Below are 27,192 nucleotides of genomic sequence, written 5' to 3'. Positions count from 1 at the left end.
TTTAAAATAAGAGATGACACAAACAAATGGAAAAACATTCCATGCTCATGGACAGGAAGAATCAATATTGTTAAAATGGCCATACTGCCCAAACCAATTTATAAAGTCAATGCTATTCCTATCAAACTAACAGTGACATTCTTCACGGAACTAGAAAAAACTATTTTACAACTCAAATGGAACCAAAAGAGAGCCCAAATAGCCAAGCCAATCCTATGCGAAAAGAATAATGCTGGAGGCATCAAACTATCCAACTTCAAACTACACTACAGGTCTACAGTAAGAAAACGGCATGGTACTGGCACAAAAACAGACACATAGACCAATGGAACAGAGAATAGAGAGCCTGGAAATAAGGTTGCACACCTACAACCATTTCATTTTCAACAAAGCTGACAAAAACAAGCAATGGGGACAGGAACCCCTATTCAATAAATGGTGCTGGGATAACTGACTAGCCATATGCAGAAGATTGAAACTGGGCCCCTTTCTTATACCATATATGAAAAATCAACTCAAGTTGGAGTTAAATGTAAGGACTTAAATGTAAAACCCAAAACTATCGAAACCCTCACACAACATAGGCAATACCATTCTGGACGTAGGAATGGGCAAATACTACATGATGAAGACATTGAAAGCAATTGCAACAAAAGCAAAAATTGACAAATGGGATCTAATTAAATTTAAGAGCTTCTGAATAGCAAAAGAAACAACAGAGTAAACAGACAATCTACAGAATGGGAGAAAAATTCTGCAAACTGTGCATCCAACAAAGGTCTAATATCCAGATCTATAAGGAAATTAAACACATTTACAAAAAAAAATCACCCCATTAAAAAGTGGGCAAAGGATATGAACAGACACTTTGCAAAAGAAGACATACATGTGGCCAATAAGCATAAGAAAAAAAGCTCATCATCACTGATCATTAGAGAAATGCAAATCAAAACCACAATGAGACACCATCTTATACCAGTCAGAATGGCTATTATTAAAAAGTCAAAAAATAACAGAGGCTGACAAGGTTGTGGAGAAAAAGGAATGCTTATACACTGTTGATGGAAGTGTAAATTGGTTCAACCATTGTGAAGAACAGTGTGATGATTCCTCAAAGACCTAAAAACAGAACTACCATTTGACCCAGCAATCCCATTTCTGGGTATATACCTAAAGGAATATAAATCGTTCTATCATAAAGACACGTGCATACATAGGTTCATTGCAAACTATTCACAACAGCAAAGACATAGAATCAACCTACATGCTTAGACTGGATAAAGAAAATGTGGTACATGTACACCATGGAATACTATGCAGCCTTTCCAGGAACATGGATGGAGTTGGAAGCCATTGTCCTTAGCAAACTAACACAGGAACAGAAACCCAAAATACTACATTTTCTCACTAATAAGTGGGAGCTAAATGATGAGAACACATGAACACATAAAGAGGAACAACAGATACTGGGGCCTACTGGAGGGAGGGGGTGGGAAGAAGGAGAGGAGCTGCAAAAATAACTAATGGGTACTAGGCTTAATACCTGGGTGACAAAATAATCTGTACAACATACACCCATGACACAAGTTTACCTAATAACAAACCTACACATGTAACCCTGAACTTAACAGTTTTAAAAGGCTGGTTTTAGACACACTATATAAGAGAATAAAGTATATTAACCATGCAGGAATGGCAGCTGTAGGTGGCAGAGCAGAGAGGAAGAGATAGCCTAACTGAAGATGTACATTTTGGAGAAACCATAAGTGAATACGTGATACTCTTTGCGTTTATTGACCAAGTCCTTGATTACAAACAATATTCGGTAGGGAATGAACTCAAGCTATGTGAGCAGATTTACTTACGTACTCTCCCACCCTTACTACTGAACACTTCATCCTGAATTGATAGAAAGAGATCCTTCCTCTTCCAACTAGAAAAGTGGACTTAACCTTAGATATGTTTGCTAGTCAAATAGTTTCTTCTTCCCCACTATGGCCAGCCCTCTGCCTGTAGATACTGCCAACCTTAGCCAAACCTCTCTTCTAAACTGCTTACACGGCTGTCTTTTAAATCAGAGCCCATCTCTTAAACAATGCGGAACATAAATATTTATCCTGACCCATTATGTACACATCATAGCACAGAAATGTAGCTCATCTGATCTTTTACATGCTACACACTGATGTTTCTTCCATTTCTAGGATCTTAACAATGACAGTAATTGATGGTGTGTGAAGAAAAAAGGGAAGATCAGGAGACTTTAACCTGTGGTATTCCCATGTTTAGAAGCAAAATGGGGAACAAAAAGGAAGCGAATAACAATCAGAAAAATAGGAGGATAACAATAGTGTAATATCATGGATGCCAAAGGAGAGTTTCAAAAAGAAGAAGGCAACCAATAGTGTCAAATGTTTCAGACAATTGTAAAAATTCAAAAATAAAAATATTTAAAACTTTCAAAATAAAATATCAAAATATCAAAATAAAATATCAAAAACTTTCTTGATGCCAGGCATTGGTCCAAGAGATCTTTTTTTGGCAAATCTTAATAAAATATCTTATTTAATCTAATACGTCCAAAATACTACCATGTCAACATGTACCTAATATAAAAATTATAGTGTTTTTTTTCCATACTCAGTCTTTAAAAACTGGTGCTTGTTTTAAACTTTCAGCATACTCAATTTGGACTAGCCACATTTCAAATGCTTAATAGTTACATGTGGGTGGTGGCTACTCTTTTGGACAGAGCAGCACAGAGAGCTGTGGGAGAATTAAAGGAGGTGGTTCATCTCTTTTAGGAGATGCAGAAGATAAAGTACTCAGCACAGGGCTGGTAGGTGGAAAACACAGAAGTGTTAGCCTCATCCTTCCCTTACCCTCTCCCGATAATGGTTCATAGTTCTCTGGACCGAATGTGAGCAATTCACTCTGCCTTGTAAAACCCTGAATTCCTCACCTCCTTCTTACTTCTCCATAAAGTACAATGAGGGCACTCTCACCACCACCCTGCAGTGACAGTACCAACCTCTATGGCCTGAGCTGCTGCAATAGCTCCCCTACATAGTGCCTTGTCATCTGCTTCTACTCCCACCAACCCATTCTCCACTGAGTGGATGGAATGCTTTTTTGGGGAGGTGATATTTTTATTGTGGCAAAATATACATAAGATAGAATGTACCATTTTAGCCATTTTCCAGCATACAATTCAGTGGCATTAGGTACATTCACGTTGTTGTGCAACCATCGCCACCATCCATTTCCAGAACTTTTTCATTATTCCAGACTGAAACTCTGTACCCATTAAACAGTAACTCCCTACCTCCTCCTCTCCCAGAGCCTTTGGTAACCTCTATTCTACTTTCTGTCTCTGAATTTTCCTATTCTAGGTACTTCACATACATGGAATCATACAATATTTTTCCATTTTTGTCTGGCTTATTATTTCTCTAGCATAATGTTTCCAAGGTTCTTCCATGTTGTAGGAAGTTTCGGAATTTCATTTCTTTTTATGGCTGAATAGCATTCCATTGTATGTATATTCCACTTTTGTTTATCCATTCATCTGTTGATGCATATTTGCATTGTTTCTAGTTTTTTTGGCTATTTGAATAGTGATGTCATGAACACTGGTGTACCAATATCCAAGAAATTTTTAATGCATTATCTCACTAAATCCTAACAACAACTCTGCAAAATAGATATTATTATTATCTTCATTTTACAGATAGGAAGAAACAGATTAACAGAGAGGTGAAGTCACATAGCTGGTGAGGAGTGAAATCGGGATCCAAATGCAGGAATATTATCATTTTATGTGTGTCATGATGTGAAAAAGGTTGGGAAGCGCTGCTCTACACCAGTGTGCTACAGCTGCCTTGTCAAGATGGTGGAGGTCTGAGAAAGATTAGTTGGATACTTGGGGCATCAGAAGTGACCAATGATAAAGCAAGATCAGCAGCAAGATGGAGATAGTGAAGTAGAGAATAAAGAAATGGTAGCAGTAAAAGGAAAGCAATAGCTAGAAAGTACAGTGGAGTTAAGTGACTGAATTGCTTCAAGGTGAAGACTGGAGAGTTTACAAAAGATTAAAGATTTATAACCAATTTAAAAAGCAGATTTCAAAACCATCAACAAAAGGAACACAACATAAAAATAAGATGCCTAGAAGGATTACGTAGGGTCAGGCAGTAGTAATTAATGGGCTTACTTTGGTATAATCCAAAGAGGAAAGATGCTATACTTTCCATGATAACACTAAGCTTTTTGTGAAACAGCAGTAGAAATTTACTATAAATATGGATAAAAGGATTGGGAAATCATGCTTAACCAGCGGCAGAGCTCCACTTGCTAGGAAGAAAGCATTATTCTAAATGACATTTTATGCTACCTTGCTTGTTTCACTGTCTTTGAATCCTTTTTCAAGTATTTGTAGAAGATGCTTTTTCTTCACTGAAACTTCAGGATCAAAAACATAAAAAAGGCATTCCAGCATCCTTCGGTAGCTCCTTAAGAATAATTGAAACAGAAAAAGTTTGAGGATTGATTTCACAAAAGCTTAGCCATAGATAAGATAACCATATGTCCTGCCAGGGATATTTGTCATTGACATGCAATGTTCTAGTGTCATTATTAATAGCTCCCCTGCCTTCAACCTCAAAAACAGGCTCAATGTGGATAAATTATGAGGTCATCCTGGCCATGGGAGATGCATAAAAAGGAAACATTTACTAACAAGGTATATGTATATTTTTAATGCTGTAAACTTTTAAAATAGAAATTTTACAAATACAGTCACACTTTTGTAAAGTTGTTCCATAAAGAATTCAGCTTCTTACTCTGAATCATGCATATCTTCATTCTCCAAAAACTTTTGAAATTTCTCTTCGAATTTTAGTCTCAGAATACGGTTGTTAACTTTAATGATGCGTTTTACTTTTACTCCTGTAATACCGTATGTTCTGAAGTCCCAGGCACAAAAACGTGACAGAATTAATTCATAGCAGAAATTAAACCTATGTGGGAATACATACAGAATATACATGAAGAAAATAATAGATTTTCCTTAAAATGTTTAAGAACAGAAAACTACGTGATAAAAGTTATAGCTCATATTTTGTGTCTTTTGCTAAAGATACAGTAATCATATAGTGGCTCCGTTTATTTATTCATTTATTGCACATTTGTTCTGCCTGGAAGACAGGTTGGTTGAGCAATCTTCACTTTCTGAAACACTTTCTTAGCTTCAGGGAAACTTCATACGCCTTCCTCTTATTGGCTGCTCTTTCATAGTTTTCTTGCTGGGTCTTCTCAGACAGACTTTTAGATGTTGAACTGCCCAGGGATCAGCCTTTGGCCTTCCTCTTGCTTCCACGAACACTCTCCCTAGATGATTTCACGTGGTTCCTTGGCTTTATATACATCCTGATAAATTACAACATTTTATTTCTAGTCTTGATCTCTACTCAACTTAGCTGGTTATACCCAGACTTGAATATCCAACTACCTACTTGGTATGTCCATCTGCATGTTAAACAGGTGACTCCAACCTAACATAACTAACACTGCACCCCAAACCTGCTCCTCTGAGTATTTTCCATCTCAGTATATGGCACCACCATTTAACTGATAGCTTAAGTCAAAACCGTAGGAATAATCCTCTCCTTTCTTCCTCACCAGTATCTTTTTTTTTTTTTTTTTTTTTTTTTTTTTTTTTTTTTTGAGGCGGAGTCTCGCTCTGTCGCCCAGGCTAGAGTGCAGGGGCGCCATCTCCACTCACTGCAATCTCCGCCTCCCGGGTTCACGCCATTCTCCTGCCTCAGCTTCCCGAGTAGCTGGGACTACAGGCGCCCGCCATCACGCCCGGCTAATTTTTTGTGTTTTTAATACAGACGGGGTTTCACCGTGTTAGCCAGGATGGTCTCAATCTCCTGACCTCGTGATCCGCCCACCTCGGCCTCCCAGTGCTGGGATTACAGGCGTGAGCCACCGCGCCCGGCCCCAGTATCTAATTCTTTAGCAAGTCCGCCTGGCTCTACATCTAAAATCCATCCTGAATGTGATCGTGTTTCATCATCACCACTGTTACCATCCTAATCCAAATCACCACGATCTCTCATTGGACTACTGAAATAACTTCCTGACAATGAATACGGATGTGAAAGAGGCATTGTCTGCTCTAATGAAGCCTAAACAAGTAAAGCCAGAAATAAAATTTCTAAACTGAAAAAGGCTCTGAAGAGAAGCTTGGGGTAAGGAATGCAAAGGGGACCTACTTAAGATAGGGCCTTGGGGACGACCTTTCAGAGACGTTAAGATATTTGATCTGAAAATTGGAGGAGGAGGAGCAGGGGCCAGCTGTGTGAAAATAACACTGAAGTGCTTGTTTGCTCTCTGCTGCCCTCACCTGGCCATACGCATAAAATTCCGGTCCTGTCTAGCACAGAACCTAGATTAAGATGAGATTGAAAAACGGATCATTTTGAGAAGGAAGTAAATGGTCTTATAAGGAATACATTTGCCTTTAATGAAAGATCTAGGTCCTCACCTACATAATCAACCAGGGTCTGAAATGGGTGTGAGCTAAGGTCACAGAGGTGAGCTTCCTGATGGGTAGTCTCTCCTTGAGCCTAATAGCTGAGCTCCTAACTTAGGGCATCTATATTTCTCACAAGCAAATACTTAATCAATGCAGCCAGGATCTTATAAATTACTTCTCCCTTAGAGTTGAAAGGAGAGCTGCCTAAACCAAACTAATCCCAGAGGAGCTCGCAGTCTGGTAGAGGAGACAGATATGAATAGTGTTGCAATCAAGCATGATGCCTGCTAACCAGTTTAGAGTACCTACAAAACAGCCACATTAGCATCTGAGGTGGGGAAGCTACTGCCCCTCCTATAGAGGGATCATTTGCTGGGCCTAAATCTGTCAAATTTCCCCTAAGTAACATGTCCTGGAAGCTTTCTGCACTCTGATAGAAACTAGGGCTGTAGGCGTTTTAGATAAAGTTTTTGCTATATAGGGGATATTGGGCTTGAGGCGTCTCATGAATGGGTGGAAGGAATGAATAAACAATACCTAGCTCCTAGGCTGGTTCCCCAGGAAGGCAGGAGCTATGAAGTGTGATTTTTTCATGGAGATTTTATGTTGCCCAGGAATTCAGCAGCTGAGCAATGATGAAGTAAGTGTGAGGTATGCAAAAGCATTCTGGGTGAAGGAAACAGAACAAACAAAACCACTTATGTGGTGGAGTACTGCGTTTGCTTCAAGAGCAGTGCGGTACACAGTTCAGCTGACTTTAAAAGAGTTGAACAGAAGTTATGATAGTCTAAAACTATACAGTGGAGAACACTGATCCTTTACTGTAGGTGAAGAGTCTGCCAATAAAACAAAACAAAAGCCTTTGCAGCCATTTGTTACCTTCCAAATTACATTCAGACTCTTCACCTACAGTAGAGGATTCAATATTCTCCACTGTATGGTCTCTAAACTAATCATAACTCCTGTTCAAATCCTTTAGAGTCAGCTGAACTGTGTACCTTACCCTCATTCATTCAGTGGTACTTGAAGGTATAAACATTCACAATGATATATATCAATGACTAATATATTCAGTTACACAGAAAGATGCCTACACATTTTGTTAATATACAATAATGTGCTCATTTAGCAAATGTAGGCTACACACGTTTTTAAATGTTTGAAGCTTAATGTAATCTATTAAAATATACTTTATAATCCTATATAAAGGTTTAATAAATACTTTTACAGGCTTACTGACTTAAATCAACAGTTTCAAAGCCCTGTAAAACAGAAAGTTTCTGCTTATGTAGCTCCTTGAGATAGTATAGCATGAAATCTTTATAAAGAGGCAGATTAATTACTGAAAGTCATTATATACACCAAAGCAAAACTGTTGTGTATCTATAAAGTGATATGGAAGCTTCAACTAGTAAATATGTACTGGGCTATTAATCCAGTCCCATGCTAGATGTTATGTCTTATAAGACACAAAACATCATATCTTCCCCAAAGGAACTTACAGAGTCACTTATATATTGTTTTGTCGTATTTTAAAGGTGTTTTTTTTTTTTTAGTTGTAAATACACTGTATCTATGACCAGGCTGACAGCTTCTCAGGCACAAGGACAGCATCTTTTATGCTTTGAAGTCCCTACTTGATAAATGTTGTATGATGTCAATGGGTAACTCAATTGGCAACACATCGGTAAATAATACAAATCTATAATAATAAAGGTATAGTAGCAACAATCCACTCAACTAGCATGTCTCTATAAAATAAGATTTTTGTAAACTGGAAAATATAATAATTTTATTTCATAAAAGAAATGAAGCTAAGAGATAATGACATACAATTAGAAACATGCAGTGTTTTGTTGTTGTTAAAGACATAAAGATAATTTTAACAGAAAATCTTTCAGTCCTAGTTCTACTGAAATACTTTTTATTTAAATACTGAATCCTTAGCCTTAAAAATATTAATAGGAGAAGTCAGTGTTTAAATAAAACAACTAGAAATGTAGCATAGCAATTTAAAGCACTTAGTAGTTATTTCTTAACATACATAAAAGATCAGAGGAAAAGTAGCCAAGCTTGCAGTATGCTAAAACTAAAAAACAGTACTTTAAATTCTGCTAACATATATTTGATATATTCCTTAAAACAAATCAAAGTTACTCTTATTAAAACCAAGTAAACAGGTTAATGCTAATCAAAATCCATCAAAGCTATCTAATTTACTATCAGGCTGACATAGTTATCTAAATGGCTTTTTGGTCATTTTGCTTTTACATTTTTTTTTTTTTCACTAATCCACTTGTTGCAAAGAGTTTCCTCTGCAATAATTTAAAAAGAAACAAATAATTTTTAAAAATCCTGTTTGGAGCTGGGCACAGTGGCTCATGCCTGTGATCTCAGCACTTTGGGAGGCCGAGGTGGGAAGATCACTTGAGGCCAGGAGTTTGAGACCAGCCTGGCCAACATGGCAAAACCCCGTCTCCACTAAAAATACAAAAATTAGTGGGTGTGGTGGCATGCACCTATAATCTTAGCTACTCGGGAGTCTGAGGCAGGAGAATCGCTTGAACCTGGGAGGCAGAGGTTGCAGCGAGCTGAGATCGGGCCACTGCACTCCAGTCTCGGGGACACAGCGAGACTCTATCTCAAAAAAAAAAAATCCTGTTTAGGTTGAGTGAATATAAATGTGCACCCAGTAGAGACACACCATTCAGTTTTTGCACTTGAAAAATCAAGGCCTTTACTTGTTTACATGGGAGCTGGATGAACACCTTTTATATCTTTGTATATAAAAATCAAAAAATGTGGTTAAGCAAACAGTAGTAACTGCTGGGCAAATGGATGTACTAATACAAAGGAAAGTATTTTCAAAGGCCTCTTTTTCCCTTGCGAAGAGCTTCTTACACTTTTCCATCAGAGTTCTCCCAAGACCTTTGAGAAGCTTTTACTCACAGAGGTGAGAAAAAAGCCATGTCTAATAGAAATCAGGGGACTTGGTTTAAAGTAACCCATAACAATAACAGTTTTTTTTTCTAAAAAGTTAGTGTAAGTTTTACATTCTACACTATAAAAATTAGTATTTATTTTGACATTGACTTCAAGTAAAATCATGCTCCAGGGTTATGTGCCAAGTCCATTCTATAGTTTGACATGTCTCCTGGTGTATTTCCATGTACCCAGTTCCTATTGTGTGGCTCTAGAGCAATCTTTCTCTGTTTCACAGGCTCTTCAGTTCTGAAAAAATGACTCAGAAATGTGAAAGTGATACTTAACAATATTTTTCTTCAAGACTTTTTTTAAGGGTAATTTGAAATTGTGCCCCTCTAATTGAAGCAACACAACCACTTCCTAGTATCTACTAGTAGGCCTTGGTTCTAAAGCCTGGCTGTCTGCTTTCTGCTTGATTCTGGTGTCTCTCCATTTTTGTTGATACAAGCTTTTGACCTGAATTCCTGGTATAAGCATATACTTTATGCTAACATGTAGTGTTCGTGTGCACCCTGACTGTAGCTATCTCTAAACAGTGGGTTCCACTCTGACCACAGACCTACAGAAGATTTGCTAGACAGTCTCCTCCCATGTTGGCAACCTGCTGTTGCCAATCCTGCTTTGGCATTCCTGCTCTCTTCCAGTTTCTCAACCAATATTCAGAATCATGCACTATATCCAGTCAGGAAACAAACAGTATAAACATATTTTAAAAATTAAAACTTGATTATAAATTTTTTTTTCTAAATTATATTCTGCTCTTGGGCTAAGAAAAATTGGGTAAAGAGCAATGATAAACCATTAGGATGTCTTCAAGGTTGGCTCACGGTAATGGCATAAACAGAAATGTATAGGCGGAAAGTAGGTAATTTTCAGTTTTCAATAGATGCCTGCCAATTTTCAATAGATGAATATTCTGCATGAGAAATGTTTCAAAAATGGGACATTTTAAGATTTTATAAGTTGATATTCTGGTTGATGATCCTAAGTACTTAAGTTATTTTTAAAGCTATACTAAATTTCTAACAGATTTACCAGTCATCAGATCGAGTGCCTTCTTCAAAATGGAAATTTCCCACAGTCTCTAACTCAATTAACAAAAGTGGGATCAATAAGCCATGACTTTTCTTCTTTTGTTTTACTTCAATATGATAAATTGCTTCAATTCTATTGGAGAGAAAAATACATACAGCTATTAGAATGATCTAAAAATCGCAACATTAAAACTTATGATAGATTTTTTTTAACTGATGTTAAAACACAAGGCTTCCTTTCAATGGATAAAGAAAGCTTGGTGTTAACAGTTAAACCATGTCAAAGACATTCTATTTTTGGCAATTAAAATCACCTTTAATTTTGCTGCTCTCAGAATATGTGAAGGCTAGAAGACTATCCTTGCTCTACCACTTACAGCTTTCAGATCTCAGACATGTCACTTGGACTTTTTATGCCTCAGTTTTCTCAGTAAAATGGCAATATTCGTAGTCCTTATTCCTAAAATGGTTGTTTTGAGAGTTACATACAAAATACATGTACAGATCTTAGCACAGAGTCTGGCACAAAGTAAAAACCCAATATATGTTACTATTATTGTTAGCATTATCACAGGGCACACTAATTTATCCACTTAGTGCCTTAGTAAATAAAAAAATTCACAGTCCTTGCTAAGCCTTCTTGCTTTACATTTCTAATTGATAACTGAGCCTGAACTTGTTTCTACTGTGTTTGGGCTTTGCCAGGTCTCATCTATTTGGTGAGTTTATCCACCAGCAGAGGCTCTATTGTTTTTAGTTTGCAGACACTAGAGCAGTGATAGGACAGGAATCCACTGGGGGGAAGCTTACTGTTCCTAATTAAGAACTGCCTCTGCAAAAAACTGTAAGCCAGCTTTTATCCCATGATGCTTATATGTACTAGGAACTAGTACTAAGAATATATTTCATGCTTTACTTCATACTGTAATTGTTCATACTCCTGAAGAAGGGAACTAGGGTCAACTGATGGCCCAAAACATTCTGATTCTCTCCATTTCAGATCAGAACAACTAGATAATTAATTAAACATACTCATCTAGTTTTTTGTTCCAGAATGTTACCCTTTCATTCAAGGCATTTAGTTTGGCCAATATCTTCTGTTGAAGACTTGGTTCTTCAGTGACAGTTTCACAACTCTTCAGTGTTTCAGGATCAGTTACTTTACTGTTATTGGATCCATCACTGTGCCCTTTGCCCGAGCCCTTGAGTTCAGCCAGTTCTCGTTCCAACTGTGGAAAACAATGTGTCAGAGAGCAAAATAAAAATAAAACATGGTCTAGGCAAAGTCGGAATTCAGATGTTAAGTTTTAATGGGATCTATTAAACAAATGTCTAATTTAAATGAACAAAGTGGAAATCTAGGTAATAAACAGGCCAGATGTCATAAAAACATGCCAAACATGTGATTTCAAGTTGGGTGCAAATTCAGTCAGCCAGTTTCTCTTGACCAAGTGCCGACCTTAACCACTTCAAATAGGGCAGTCTCCCAATTGAAAATAAGCAAAGCAACAGATTTTCAAATCTTTTTAATAAGTTCGCCTCTATTAAAGCCAAAGTAAAATTAAAATAAATACTGATTTTAGTACAAATATTTAAAATTCAAATAATGTAATTTTTAACACACATACTTTTCAATTTTTCAGTATTTTTCACCACTTTGGTGTTCTGGAAAAAAATAACTATTAAAATTACACGAAAGCATATATATAGGGGTGCACATTTTTCCTTTTGTTTTAGTCTCTTACATGACTCAGCACAGCACTGGTCTTAAGATTTTGTTATTTTGGGGTTTTTAAATTTATCATAATGAACTTTTTGCATTAATTTGGATATTTTAAAAATGTTGCATGGAATATTATTTATCTTGATTACTTAAGGTTTTTGGGTACTCCCTTAAATTCTGGGCCCACAGCAAGAACCTCTTTTGTCTAACTCTAATCTCAGCCTTATGTAATTTAAAGATAAATTGTACTGAGGAGGGGCCAAGATGGCTGAATAGAAACATCTCTGGTCTTAAGCTTCCAGTGAGACCAATGCAGAAGGTGGGTGATTACTGCATTTCCAACTGAGGTACCCTGTTCATCTCAGTGAGACTGGTTAGACAGTGGGTCCAACCCACAGAGGGTGAGCAGAAGCAGGGTGGGGTGTCACATCACCCAGGAAGTGCAAGGAGCAGGGACCTCCCTCCCCCAGCCAAGGTAAGCTGTGAGGGACTGTGCTACCCAGCCGGGTTACTATGCTTTTCCCACCGTTTTTGCAATCTGCAGATCAGGAGATTCCCTCGTGTGCCTATACCACCAGGGCTCTGTGTTTCAAGCACAAAACTGGGTGGCTGTTTGGGCAGACACTGAGCTAGCTGCAGGAGTATTTTTTCGTACCGCAGGGTAACCTGGAACCCCAGCGAGAGAGAACCTTTCACTCCCCTGCAAAGCGGACTGAAGCCAGGGAGCCAAGTGGTCTTGCTCAGCGGGTCCCACTCCCACAGAGCCCAGCAAGCTAAGAACCACTAGCTTGAAATTCTCGCTGCCAGCACAGCAGTCTGAAGTCGACCTGGGTCGATTGAGCTTGGTTGGGGCAGGGGTGTCCACCATTACTGAGGCTTTAGTAGGTGGTTTTTCCCTGACAGTGCTAAGGAGTTTGGGAGGTCTGGGCCCGGTGGCAAAGCAGCTGTGGTCAGACTGCTTCTCTAGATTCCTCCTCACTGGGCAGGGCATCTCTCAAGGAAAGGTAACAGCCCCAGTAAGGGGTTTACACACAAAAACCCCACTTCCCTGGGACAGAGCACCTGGTGGAAGGGGTGGCTGTGGGCACAGCTGCAGCAGATTTAATCGTTCCTGCCTGCCAGCTCTGAAGAGAGCAGCTAATCCTGACAAGAGGGATTCGCCCAGCACAGTGCACCAGCTCTGCTAAGGGACAGACTGCCTGCTCAAGTGGGTTCCTGACCCCCGTGCCTCCTGACTGGGAGACATACCCCAACAGGGGTCGACAGACACCTCATACAGGAGAGCTCTGGTTGGCATCAGGCCAGTGCTCCTTCAGGATGAAGCTTCCAGAGGAAGGAGCAGGCAGCAATCTTTGCTATTCTGCAGCCTCCACTGCTGATACCCAAGTGAACAGGGTCTGGAGTTGACCTCCAGCAAACTGCAGCAGACCTGCAGAAGAGGGGCCTGTTAGAAGAAAAACTAACAAACAGAAAGCAACAAGATCAAGATGAACATAAAGGACCCCCACACAAAACCCCATCCAAAGGTCATCAGCCTCAAAGATCAAAGGTAAATAAATCCATGAAGATGAGGAAAAACCAGCACAAAAACGCTGAAAATTCCAAAAACCAGAATGCCTCTTCTCCTCCAAATGATCGCAACTCCTCTCCAGCAACAGCACAAAACTGAACAGAGAATGAGACTGATGAATTAATAGAAGTAGGCTTCAGAAGGTGGGTAATAACAAACTCCTCAGAGCTAAAGGAGCAAGTTCTAACCCAATGCAAGGAAGCTAAGAACATTGATAAAAGGTTACAGGAACTGCTAACTAGAATAACCAGTTTAGAGAAGAACATAAATGACCTGATGGAGCTGAAAAACACAGCATAAGAACTTCATGAAGCATACACAAGTATCCATAGCTGAAATCTATCAAGCAGAATAAAGGATATCAGAGATTGAAGATCAACTTACTGAAATAAGGCATGAAGACAAGATTAGAGCAAAAAGAATGAAAAGGAATGAACAAAGCCTCCAAGAAATATGGGACTATGTGAAAATACCAAATCTCTGGTTGATTGGGGTCCCTGAAAGTGATGGGGAGAATGCAACCAAGTTGGAAAACACACTTCAGGATATTATCCAGGAGAACTTCCTCACCCTAGCAAGACAGGCCAATATTCACATTCAGGAAATACAGAGAACACCATTAAGATACTCCTCGAGAAGAGCAGCCCCAAGACACATCGTGAGATTCTCCAAGGTTGAAACAAAGGAAAAAATGTTAAGGGCAGCCAGAGAGAAAGGTCAGGTTACCTACAAAGGGAAGCCCATCAGACTAACAGCTGATCTCTCTGCAGAAACCCTACAAGCCAGAAGAGAGTGAGGGCCAATATTCAACATTCTTAAAGAAAAGAATTTTCAACTCAGAATTTTGTATCCAGCCAAACTAAGCTTCATAAGCGAAGGAGAAATAAAATCCTTTACAGACAAGCAAACGTTGAGGGATTTTGTCACCACCAGGCCTGCCTTACAAGAGGAAGCACTAAATAGAGAAAGGAAAAACCAGTACCATCCACAGCAAAAACATAACAAAATATAAAGACCAATGACACCATGAAGAAACTGCATAAATTAATGTGCAAAATAACCAGCTAGCATCATGATGACAGGATCAAATTCACACATAACAATATTAACCTTAAATGTAAATGGGCTAAATGCCCCAATTAAAAGGCACAGACTGGCAAATTGGATAAAGAGTAAAGACCCATTGCTGTTCTGTATTCAGGAGACCCCTCTCACGTGCAAAGACACACATAGGCTCAAAATAAAGGGATGGAGGAATATTTACCAAGCAAATGGAAAGTAAAAAAGAAGCAGGATTTGCAATCCTAGTCTCTGATAAAAGAGGCTTTACACCAGCAAAGATCAAAAAAGACAAAGAAGGGTATTACATAATGGTAAAGGGATCAATGCAACAAGAAGAGCAAACTGTCCTAAATATATATGCACCCAATACAGGAGCACCCAGATTCATAAAATAAGATCTTAGAGATCTACAAAGAGACTTAGACACTCACACAATAATAGTGGGAGACCTTAACACCCCACTGTCACATTAGACAGATCAACAAGACAGGAAGTTAACAAGGATATTCAGGACTTGAACTTAGCTCTGTACCAAGCAGACATAATAGGCATTTACAGAACTCTCCACCCCAAATCAAGAATATATATTCTTCTCAGCAACACACAGCACATATTCTAAAATCGACCACATAATTGGAAGTAAAATACTCCTGAGCAAATGCAAATGAATGGAAATCATAACAAACAGTTCCTCAGACCACAGTGCAATTAAAATAGAACTCAGGATTAAGTAACTCACTTAAAACCCACACAAAAATATGGAAATTGACAACCTGCTCCTGAATAATACTGGGAAAATAACAAAATTAAGACAGAAATAAAGAAGTTCTTTGAAACCAATGAGAACAAAGAGACAACGTACCAGAATCTCTGGGACACAGCTACAGCAGTGTTAAGAGGGAAATTTATAGCACTAAATGCTCACAACAGAAAGCTAGAAAGATCTAAAATCGACACCCTAACATCACAATTAAGAGAACTATAGAAACAAGAGCAAACAAATTCAAAAGCTAGCAGAAGGCAAATAACTAAGATCAGAGCAGAACTGAAGGAGGTAGAGACATGAAAAACCCTTCAAAAAAATCAATGAATCCCAGAGCTGGTTTTTTGAAAAGATCAACAACATAGACAGACCACTAGCTAGACTAATAAAGAAGAAAAGAGAGAAGAATCAAATAGAACAATAAAAATGATAAAGGGGATATCACCATTGATCCCACAGAAATACAAACTACCATCAGAGAATACTACAAACACCTTTACACAACTAAACTAGAAAATCTAGAAGAAATGGAAAAATTCCTGGACACATACACCCTCCCAAGACTAAACCAGAAAGAAGTTGAATCCATGAAAAGACCAATAACAAGTTCTGAAATTGAGGCAGTCATTAATATCCTACCAATCAAAAGAAGTCCAGGACCTGATGGATTGACAGCCACATTCTATCAGAGGTACAAAGAGGAACTGGTACCATTCCTTCTGAAACTATTCCAAACAATAGAAAAAGAGGGACTCCTCCCTAACTCATTTTATGAGGCCAGCATCATCCTGATACCAAAACCTGGCAGAGACACAACAAAAAAAGAAAATATCAGGCCAATAACCCTGATGAACATTGATGCAAAAATCCTCAATAAAATACTGGCAAACCAAATCCAGCAGCACATCAAAAAGTTTATCCACCACGATCAAGTCAGCTCATCCCTGGGATGCAAGGCCGGTTCAACATAAGCAAATCAATACACATAATCCATCACATAAACATAACCAATGACAAAAACCATGATTATCTCAATAGATGCAGAAAAGGCCTTTGATAAAATTCAACAGCCCTTCATGTTAAAAACTCTCAATAAACTAGGTATTGCTGGAACATATCTCAAAATAATAAGAGCTATTTATGACAAACCCACAGCCAATATCATACTGAATGGGCAAAAGCTGGAAGTGTTGTAGAAGATAAGGATGCCCCCTCTCACCACTCCTATTCAACATAGTATTGGAAGTTCTATTCAGGGAAATCAGGCAAGAGAAAAAAATAAAGTGTATTCAAATAGGAAGACAGGAAGTCAAATTGTCTCTGTTTGCAGATGACATGATTGTATATTTAGAAAATCCCATATTCTCAGCCCAAAACTCCTTAAGCTGATAAGCAACTTCAGCAAAGTCTCAGGATATAAAATCAATGTACAAAAATCACAAGCATTCCTATACACCAATAATAGATAAGCAGAGAGCCAAATCATGAGTGAACTCCCATTCACAATTGCTAGAAAGAGAATAAAATACCTAGGAATACAACTTATAAGAGACATGAAGGACCTCTTCAAGAACTACAAACCACTGCTCAAGGAAATAAGAGAGGACACAAAAAAAATGGAAAAACATTCCATGCTCATGGATAGGAAGAATCAATATCGTGAAAATGGTCATACTCCCCAAAGAAATTTATAGATTCAGTGCTATTCCCATCAAGCTACCATTGGCTTTCTTCACAGAATTAGAAACAAACTACTTTAAATTTCATATGGAACCAAAAAGGAGCCTGTATAGCCAAAACAATTCTAAGGAAGAAGAATAAAGCTGAAGGCATCATGCTACCTGACTTCAAACTATACTGCAAGGCTACAGTAACCAGAACAGCATGGTACTGGTACCAAAATGGATATATAGACCAATGGAACAGAAGAGAGACCTCAGAAATAGCACCACATATCTTCAATCATCTGATCTTTGACTAACCTGACAAAAACAAGCAATGGGGAAGGGATTCCCTATTTAATAAATGGTGCTGAGAAAACTGGCTAGCCATATGCAGAAAACAGAAACTGGACCCCTTCCTTAAGCCTTATACAAAATGTAACTCAAGATGAATCAAAGACTTAAATGTAAAACCCAAAACCATAAAAACCCTAGAAGAAAACCTAGGCAATACCATGCAGGACATAAGCATGGGCAAAGACTTCATGACTAAAACACCAAAAGCAACAGCAACAAAAGTCAAAATTGACAAATGGGATCTAATAAAACTAAAGAGCTTCTGCACAGCAAAAGGAACTATCATCAGATTGAACAGGCCACCTACAGAATGGGAGAAAATTTTTGCAAGATACCCATCTGACAGAGGTCTAATACCTAGAATCTTAAAGGAATTTAAACAAATTTACAAGAAAAAATTTACAAATTTGCAAACAAATTTACAAGAAGGATACGAACAGACACTTCTCAAAAGAAGACATTTATGCCACCAACAAACATATGAAAAAAAGCTCATCATCACTGGTCATTAGAGAAATGCAAATCAAAACCACAATGAGATACCATCTCATACCTGTTAGAGTGGTGATTATTAAAAAGTCAGGAAACAACAGATGCTGGAGAGGATGTGGAGAAATAAGAACAGTTTTACACTGTTGGTGGGAGTGTAAATTAGTTCAACCATTGTGGAAGACAGTGTGACGTTTCCTCAAACATCTAGAACCAGAAATAACATTTGACCCAGCAATCCCATTACTGGGTATACACCCAAAGGATTAGAAATCATTCTACTATAAAGACACATGCACATGTATGTTTATTGCAGCACTATTTACAATAGCAAAGGCTTGGAACCAACACAAATGCCCATCAGTGATAGACTGGATAAAGAAAATGTGGCACATATACACCATGGAGTATTATGCAGCCATTAAAGAGAATGAGCTCATGTCCTTTGCAGGGACATGGATGAAGCTGGAAGCCATCACTCTCAGCAAACTAACACAGGAACAGAAAACCAAACACCACATTTTCTCACTCACAAGTGGGAGCTGAACAATGAAAACACTTGGACACAGGGAGGGGAACATCACACACCAGGTCCTGTTGCGAGGTGGGGGGCAAGGGGAGGGAGAGCATTAGGACAAATACCTAATGCATGCGGGGCTTAAAACCTAGATGACAGGTTGATAGGTGCAGCAAACTATCATGTCAAATGTATACCTATGTAACAAACCTGCATGTTTGCACATGTATCCCAGAATTTAAAGGAAAATAAAAGCAACAACAACAACAATAACAACAACAGATAAATTGTACTCTATAAGGGAAAATATATATAAGTGGAAATTTAATAGTTATCTGTACTCCTCTATAATAGATATATCCAGCTGTTAGAAAATAGATTGGAGGAGCCAAGATGGCCGAATAGGAACAGCTCTGGTCTACAGCTCCCAGCGTGAGCGACGCAGAAGACGGGTGATTTCTGCATTTCCATCTGAGGTACCCGGTTCATCTCACTAGGGAGTGCCAGACAGTGGGCGCAGGCCAGTGGGTGCGCGCACCGTGCGCGAGCCGAAGCAAGGCGAGGCATTGCCTCACCTGGGAAGCGCAAGGGGTCAGGGAGTTCCCTTTCCGAGTCAAAGAAAGGCGTGACGGACGCACCTGGAAAATCGGGTCACTCCCACCCGAATATTGCGCTTTTCAGACCGGCTTAAAAAACGGCGCACCACGAGACTATATCCCACACCTGGCTCGGAGGGTCCTACGCCCACGGAATCTCGCTGATTGCTAGCACAGCAGTCTGAGATCAAACTGCAAGGCGGCAGCGAGGCTGGGGGAGGGGCGCCTGCCATTGCCCAGGCTTGCTTAGGTAAACAAAGCAGCCGGGAAGCTCGAACTGGGTGGAGCCCACCACAGCTCAAGGAGGCCTGCCTGCCTCTGTAGGCTCCACCTCTGGGGGCAGGGCACAGACAAACAAAAAGACAGCAGTAATCTCTGCAGACTTAAATGTCCCTGTCTGACAGCTTTGAAGAGAGCAGTGGTTCTCCCAGAACGCAGCTGGAGATCTGAGAACGGGCAGACTGCCTCCTCAAGTGGGTCCCTGACCCCTGACCCCCGAGCAGCCTAACTGGGAGGCCTACCCCCCAGCAGGGGCACACTGACACCTCACACAGCAGGGTATTCCAACAGACCTGCAGCTGAGGGTCCTGTCTGTTAGAAGGAAAACTAACAAACAGAAAGGACATCCACACCGAAAACCCATCTGTACATCACCATCATCAAAGACCAAAAGTAGATAAAACCACAAAGATGGGGAAAAAACAGAACAGAAAAACTGGAAACTCTAAAACGCAGAGCGCCTCTCATCCTCCAAAGGAACGCAGTTCCTCACCAGCAACGGAACAAAGCTGGATGGAGAATGATTTTGACGAGCTGAGAGAAGAAGGCTTCAGACGATCAAATTACTCTGAGCTACGGGAGGACATTCAAACCAAAGTCAAAGAAGTTGAAAACTTTGAAAAAAATTTAGAAGAATGTATAACTAGAATAACCAATACAGAGAAGTGCTTAAAGGAGCTGATGGAGCTGAAAACCAAGGCTCGAGAACTACGTGAAGAATGCAGAAGCCTCAGGAGCCGATGCGATCAACTGGAAGAAAGGGTATCAGCAATGGAAGATGAAATGAATGAAATGAAGTGAGAAGGGAAGTTTAGAGAAAAAAGAATAAAAAGAAATGAGCAAAGCCTCCAAGAAATATGGGACTATGTGAAAAGACCAAATCTACGTCTGATTGGTGTACCTGAAAGTGATGCGGAGAATGGAACCAAGTTGGAAAACACTCTGCAGGATATTATCCAGGAGAACTTCCCCAATCCAGCAAGGCAGGCCAACGTTCAGATTCAGGAAATACAGAGAACGCCACAAAGATACTCCTCGAGAAGAGCAACTCCAAGACACATAATTGTCAGATTCACCAAAGTTGAAATGAAGGAAAAAATGTTAAGGGCAGCCAGAGAGAAAGGTCGGGTTACCCTCAAAGGGAAGCCCATCAGACTAACAGCAGATCTCTCGGCAGAAACCCTACAAGCCAGAAGAGAGTGGGGGCCAATATTCAACATTCTTAAAGAAAAGAATTTTCAACCCAGAATTTCATATCCAGCCAAACTAAGCTTCATAAGTGAAGGAGAAATAAAATACTTTACAGACAAGCAAATGCTGACCGATTTTGTCACCACCAGGCCTGCCCTAAAAGAGCTCCTGAAGGAAGCGCTAAACATGGAAAGGAACAACTGGTACCAGCCGCTGCAAAATCATGCCAAAATGTAAAGACCATCGAGACTAGGAAGAAACTGCATCAACTAACGAGCAAAATCACCAGCTAACATCATAATGACAGGATCAAATTCACACATAACAATATTAACTTTAAATGTAAATGGACTAAATTCTCCAATTAAAAGACACAGACTGGCAAGTTGGATAAAGAGTCAAGACCCATCAGTGTGCTGTATTCAGGAAACCCATCTCACGTGCAGAGACACACATAGGCTCAAAATAAAAGGATGGAGGAAGATCTACCAAGCAAATGGAAAACAAAAAAAGGCAGGGGTTGCAATCCTAGTCTCTGATAAAACAGACTTTAAACCAACAAAGATCAAAAGAGACAAAGAAGGCCATTACATAATGGTAAAGGGATCAATTCAACAAGAGGAGCTAACTATCCTAAATATATATGCACCCAATACAGGAACACCCAGATTCATAAAGCAAGTCCTGAGTGACCTACAAAGAGACTTAGACTCCCACACATTAATAATGGGAGACTTTAACACCCCACTGTCAACATTAGACAGATCAACGAGACAGAAAGTCAACAAGGATACCCAGGAATTGAACTCAGCTCTGCACCAAGCGGACCTAATAGACATCTACAGAACTCTCCACCCCAAATCAACAGAATATACATTTTTTTCAGCACCACACCACACCTATTCCAAAATTGACCACATAGTTGGAAGTAAAGCTCTCCTCAGCAAATGTAAAAGAACAGAAATTATAACAAACTATCTCTCAGACCACAGTGCAATCAAACTAGAACTCAGGATTAAGAATCTCACTCAAAGCCGCTCAACTATATGGAAACTGAACAACCTGCTCCTGAATGACTACTGGGTACATAACGAAATGAAGGCAGAAATAAAGAGTTCTTTGAAACCAACGAGAACAAAGACACAACATACCAGAATCTCTGGGACGCATTCAAAGCAGTGTGTAGAGGGAAATTTATAGCACTAAATGCCCACAAGAGAAAGCAGGAAAGATCCAAAATTGACACCCTAACATCACAATTAAAAGCAAGAGCAAACACATTCAAAAGCTAGCAGAAGGCAAGAAATAACTAAAATCAGAGCAGAACTGAAGGAAATAGAGACACAAAAAACCCTTCAAAAAATCAATGAATCCAGGAGCTGGTTTTTTGAAAGGATCAACAAAATTGATAGACCGCTAGCAAGACTAATAAAGAAAAAAAGAGAGAAGAATCAAATAGACACAATAAAAAATGATAAAGGGGATATCATCACCGATCCCACAGAAATACAAACTACCATCAGAGAATACTACAAACACCTCTACGCAATTAACTAGAAAATCTAGAATAAATGGATAAATTCCTCGACACATACACTCTCTCAAGACTAAACCAGGAAGAAGTTGAATCTCTGAATAGACCAATAACAGGAGCTGAAATTGTGGCAATAATCAATAGTTTACCAACCAAAAAGAGTCCAGGACCAGATGGATTCACAGCCGAATTCTACCAGAGGTACAAGGAGGAACTGGTACCATTCCTTCTGAAACTATTCCAATCAATAGAAAAAGAGGGAATCCTCCCTAACTCATTTTATGAGGCCAGCATCATTCTGATACCAAAGCCGGGCAGAGACACAACCAAAAAAGAGAAGTTTAGACCAATATCCTTGATGAACATTGATGCAAAAATCCTCAATAAAATACTGGCAAACCGAATCCAGCAGCACATCAAAAAGCTTATCCACCATGATCAAGTGGGCTTCATCCCTGGGATGCAAGGCTGGTTCAATATACGCAAATCAATAAATGTAATCCAGCATATAAACAGAGCCAAAGACAAAAACCACATGATTATCTCAATAGATGCAGAAAAAGCCTTTGACAAAATTCAACAACCCTTCATGCTAAAAACTCTCAATAAATTAGGTATTGATGGGACGTATTTCAAAATAATAAGAGCTATCTATGACAAACCCACAGCCAATATCATACTGAATGGGCAAAAACTGGAAGCATTCCCTTTGAAAACTGGCACAAGACAGGGATGCCCTCTCTCACCACTCCTATTCAACATAGTGTTGGAAGTTCTGGCCAGGGCAATCAGGCAGGAGAAAGAAATAAAGGGTATTCAATTAGGAAAAGAGGAAGTCAAATTGTCCCTGTTTGCAGATGACATGATTGTTTATCTAGAAAACCCCATCGTCTCAGCCCAAAATCTCCTTAAGCTGATAAGCAACTTCAGCAAAGTCTCAGGATACAAAATTAATGTACAAAAATCACAAGCATTCCTATACACCAACAACAGACAAACAGAGAGCCAAATCATGAGTGAACTCCCATTCACAATTGCTTCAAAGAGAATAAAATACCTAGGAATCCAACTTACAAGGGATGTGAAGGACCTCTTCAAGGAGAACTACAAACCACTGCTCAAGGAAATAAAAGAGGATACAAACAAATGGAAGAACATTCCATGCTCATGGGTAGGAAGAATCAATATCGTGAAAATGGCCATACTGCCCAAGGTAATTTACAGATTCAATACCATCCCCATCAAGCTACCAATGACTTTCTTCACAGAATTGGAAAAAACTACTTTAAAGTTCATATGGAACCAAAAAAGAGCCTGCATCGCCAAGTCAATCTGAAGCCAAAAGAACAAAGCTGGAGGCATCACACTACCTGACTTCAAACTATACTACAAGGCTACAGTAACCAAAACAGCATGGTACTGGTACCAAAACAGAGACATAGATCAATGGAACAGAACAGAGCCCTCAGAAATAACGCCGCTTACCTACAACTATCTGATCTTTGACAAACCTGAGAAAAACAAGCAATGGGGAAAGGATTCCCTATTTAATAAATGGTGCTGGGAAAACTGGCTAGCCATATGTAGAAAGCTGAAACTGGATCCCTTCCTTACACCTTATACAAAAATCAATTCAAGATGGATTAAAGATTTAAACGTTAGACCTAAAACCATAAGAACCCTAGAAGAAAACCTAGGCATTACCATTCAGGACATAGGCGTGGGCAAGGACTTCATGTCCAAAACACCAAAAGCAATGGCAACAAAAGCCAAAATTGACAAATGGGATCTAATTAAAGTAAAGAGCTTCTGCACAGCAAAAGAAACTACCATTAGAGTGAACAGGCAACCTACAACATGGGAGAAAATTTTTGCAACCTACTCATCTGACAAAGGGCTAATATCCAGAATCTACAATGAACTCAAACAAATTTACAAGAAAAAAACAAACAACCCCATCAAAAAGTGGGCGAAGGACATGAACAGACACTTCTCAAAAGAAGACATTTATGCAGCCAAAAAACACATGAAAAAATGCTCATCATCACTGGCCATCAGAGAAATGCAAATCAAAACCACTATGAGATATCATCTCACACCAGTTAGAATGGTGATCATTAAAAAGTCAGGAAACAACAGGTGCTGGAGAGGATGTGGAGAAATAAGAACACTTTTACACTGTTGGTGGGACTGTAAACTAGTTCAACCATTGTGGAAGTCAGTGTGGCGATTCCTCAGGGATCTAGAACTAGAAATACCATTTGACCCAGCCATCCCATTACTGGATATATACCCAAAGGACTATAAATCATGCTGCTATAAAGACACATGCACACGTATGTTTATTGCGGCATTATTCACAATAGCAAAGACTTGGAACCAACCCAAATGTCCAACAATGATAGACTGGATTAAGAAAATGTGGCACATATACACCATGGAATACTATGCAGCCATAAAAAATGATGAGTTCATGTCCTTTGTAGGGACATGGATGAAATTGGAAACCATCATTCTCAGTAAACTATCGCAAGAAGAAAAAACCAAACACCGCATATTCTCACTCATAGGTGGGAATTGAACAATGAGATCACATGGACACAGGAAGGGGAATATCACACTCTGGGGACTGTGGTGAGGAGTGGGGAGGGGGGAGGGATAGCACTGGGAGATATACCTAATGCTAGATGACGAGTTAGTGGGTGCAGCGCACCAGCATGGCACATGTATACATATGTAACTAACCTGCACAATGTGCACATGTACCCTAAAACTTAAAGTATAATTTAAAAAAAAAAAAGACAAAAAAAAAGAAAATAGATTAAGCATATTCATTAAAATATATATATTTGTATATATCTATAGCCATTATTTTTCTCATTTGCAGATTTTACTTAATACATGCATTTGCACATGAAAATAGCAGATATAAAATGATATCCATTTATTGATCTCTTGTGATTTTTATGGAAATAATCTTTTTTATTATTAATTTTAATTTTAATTAAATTTTATTAATGTTTTACTTTAAGAATATTTTTCTAATTATAATAAGAACTGCTCACTTTAAAAAAGCATTAAATATATTTCAAAACCTTGGTTTTTAATATTAATAGCTACACACTATTCTGTCTTGAGTATATAACTCTTCTCTTATTAAACATTTAGATAGTTTCCAATTTTTTAATTATTAATAGTGCAATGATATATAAATATTTTTATATATATCCTTTTATATACATATTTACAATAGAGTGCTAGAAGTAGATTTACTGGGTCAAAAACTCAGCATTTTTATGCTGTTATACATATGACCAAAGTTACACTTCCATAAGTGGTATCTAGTGTGTCACATCCATCTTCACCAGCCTGAGTACTGTCATGTGTCATACTTTGACAGTTTATAGGTGAAACAGTTTCTTGTTATCTTAATTAACATTTGGAAGTTAATCATCAAATTGAGTTCTTTCAAATGCTTATTAGTCATTTTTATTTCTACTCTTGTAAAATTCTAGTTTATGTACTTTGCTCAATTTTTCTATTTAGACATTTACCTTTTATTTTGTTTTACATATGAGCACCTTTTTATACTAAGGATATTGACTCTTTGTCCATCATGTTTGTTGAAGACATTTTTTCAGATTTTCATTTGTTGTTTACATTTATTATTTTAAATACAAAAGCATTTCACTGGTTTTTAAAAAATCAATTCTACATTTTATTCCTTTGTGATTTCTAGTATTTCTTTCATTTAGCAGGCTGAGATCAGATAAATATATCCATCTATATATTTATTCTTCAATTTTTCATGTTTTCATTTTTACATTTAATTCTTTTTTTTCCTACTGGTATTTACATTTGGTAAAGTGCAAATGAAGGAGCCAACTCTCCAGCTCCCAAATAGTTTGACTATTTTTGTAACACCATTTGTTGAATAATCCATTATTTCCTCATACTGAAAAAAATACAGGAATTACTATATATACAAGATTCCGTTTTGAGTTAAATAATGCTTACTTTTTCAGGGTCTACTTTTAGTAAAAGAAATCCAATTTATTCTAAATAAAAATGCATACATACTACTAACATATAGCTTGATTTAAAGTTCCCACTTTGTTGTATACCTTAGTGTTATTAGGAAAGGGTTTTTTTTTTTTTAGCACTTTAAACAAGAAAATGAATTTTGAGCACAGCCTACTGGCATCTAATAAAAACACAGCTGAATAAGTCTAATAATTTTTGTAACACTCTAAATCATATTGAAATACACAGTTTTTTTAAACAAAATTCATAATTTAATAAGCCTATACCTTTTTTGAATTGCAGATTTCTAAGCACAGAATGTAGCTTAGTTAAGTACCTGGAATCAGAACTTTTTTGGGGGCAAGCTTAACTTGAAATTCAGTAGTAATTACATATGTGTGTGTGTGTGTGTGTGAGTGTGTGTGTGTGTGTATTATATATGTGTGTATATACATAATTTAAAAGATATTGCTTGCTATCTTATCTAACGGTTTTCTTAAGGTATGGCCACTGGGATTTTACATTATTAAATCTTACAGTTTTCTTCACAAAGCTGAATAATTTTACTCGTTCTTCTGGCAACTTTTGTAATTTGCATTTTTGATCATTCAGTTTTTCAAGGTCTTCTTTAAGATGCCTCTGAAGAGTTTTTATACGCATATTATAATACATTATTTTTTTCATTGCTGTGGTCTAAAAGTAAGAAAGAAAACAACAAAAAATTAGCTAAAACAAATTATAGGCAATTGTTAGTGGTATTATATAAATACAGTATGTTCTATATAACAATTTAGATGATTTGCATGCTTAGTTACTAATAATGATGACAGCTGGAGTGACAATGGCTACACAGAGTTCTATATTTAA

The 27,192-nt window shown here is 38.3% G+C and overlaps 1 protein-coding gene and 1 long non-coding RNA gene across 20 annotated transcripts in view, besides 1 other annotated feature; one reads left to right on the top strand and one right to left on the bottom strand.

The window, feature by feature from the left end:
- PCNX4-DT (PCNX4 divergent transcript) overlaps positions 1–2,514 on the top strand; it is a 122,654-nt gene extending 120,140 nt beyond the window's left edge. Inside the window, exon 5 of the long non-coding RNA XR_943918.4 lies at positions 2,205–2,514. This is a non-coding gene — a long non-coding RNA (PCNX4 divergent transcript). The remainder of the gene's footprint in view (positions 1–2,204) is intronic.
- LRRC9 (leucine rich repeat containing 9) overlaps positions 1–27,192 on the bottom strand; it is a 147,105-nt gene that overhangs the window by 95,211 nt on the left and 24,702 nt on the right. For 17 of the 19 annotated variants that reach the window (NR_075071.3, XR_002957549.2, XR_002957550.2 and 14 more), the window contains 5 exons: positions 26,863–27,018; positions 11,593–11,789; positions 10,562–10,693; positions 4,842–5,018; positions 4,394–4,511 (listed from right to left, as the gene is read on the bottom strand). Coding sequence is in view for 16 of the 19 variants with exons in the window: in NM_001355272.3 (NP_001342201.1) it covers positions 4,394–4,511; positions 4,842–5,018; positions 10,562–10,693; positions 11,593–11,789; positions 26,863–27,018 (780 nt within the window). In the remaining 3 variants the exon portion in view is untranslated. The remainder of the gene's footprint in view (positions 1–4,393; positions 4,512–4,841; positions 5,019–10,561; positions 10,694–11,592; positions 11,790–26,862; positions 27,019–27,192) is intronic. The other 2 variants (XM_024449567.2, XM_024449568.2) reach the window with 1 other exon arrangement.
- Positions 6,261–6,320: an enhancer, noted in NCBI's record as "active region_8464". NCBI's record gives its function as "activates an Ori minimal core promoter by ATAC-STARR-seq in GM12878 lymphoblastoid cells {active_cell/tissue: GM12878}" and the evidence as "EXISTENCE:reporter gene assay evidence [ECO:0000049][PMID:35858748]".

Source organism: Homo sapiens, chromosome 14 (genome assembly GCF_000001405.40).
Source record: "Homo sapiens chromosome 14, GRCh38.p14 Primary Assembly".
Taxonomy (NCBI): domain Eukaryota; kingdom Metazoa; phylum Chordata; class Mammalia; order Primates; family Hominidae; genus Homo; species Homo sapiens.
Note: the sequence above shows the minus strand (reverse complement) of the source record. Positions and strands in the feature narration are given on the sequence as shown.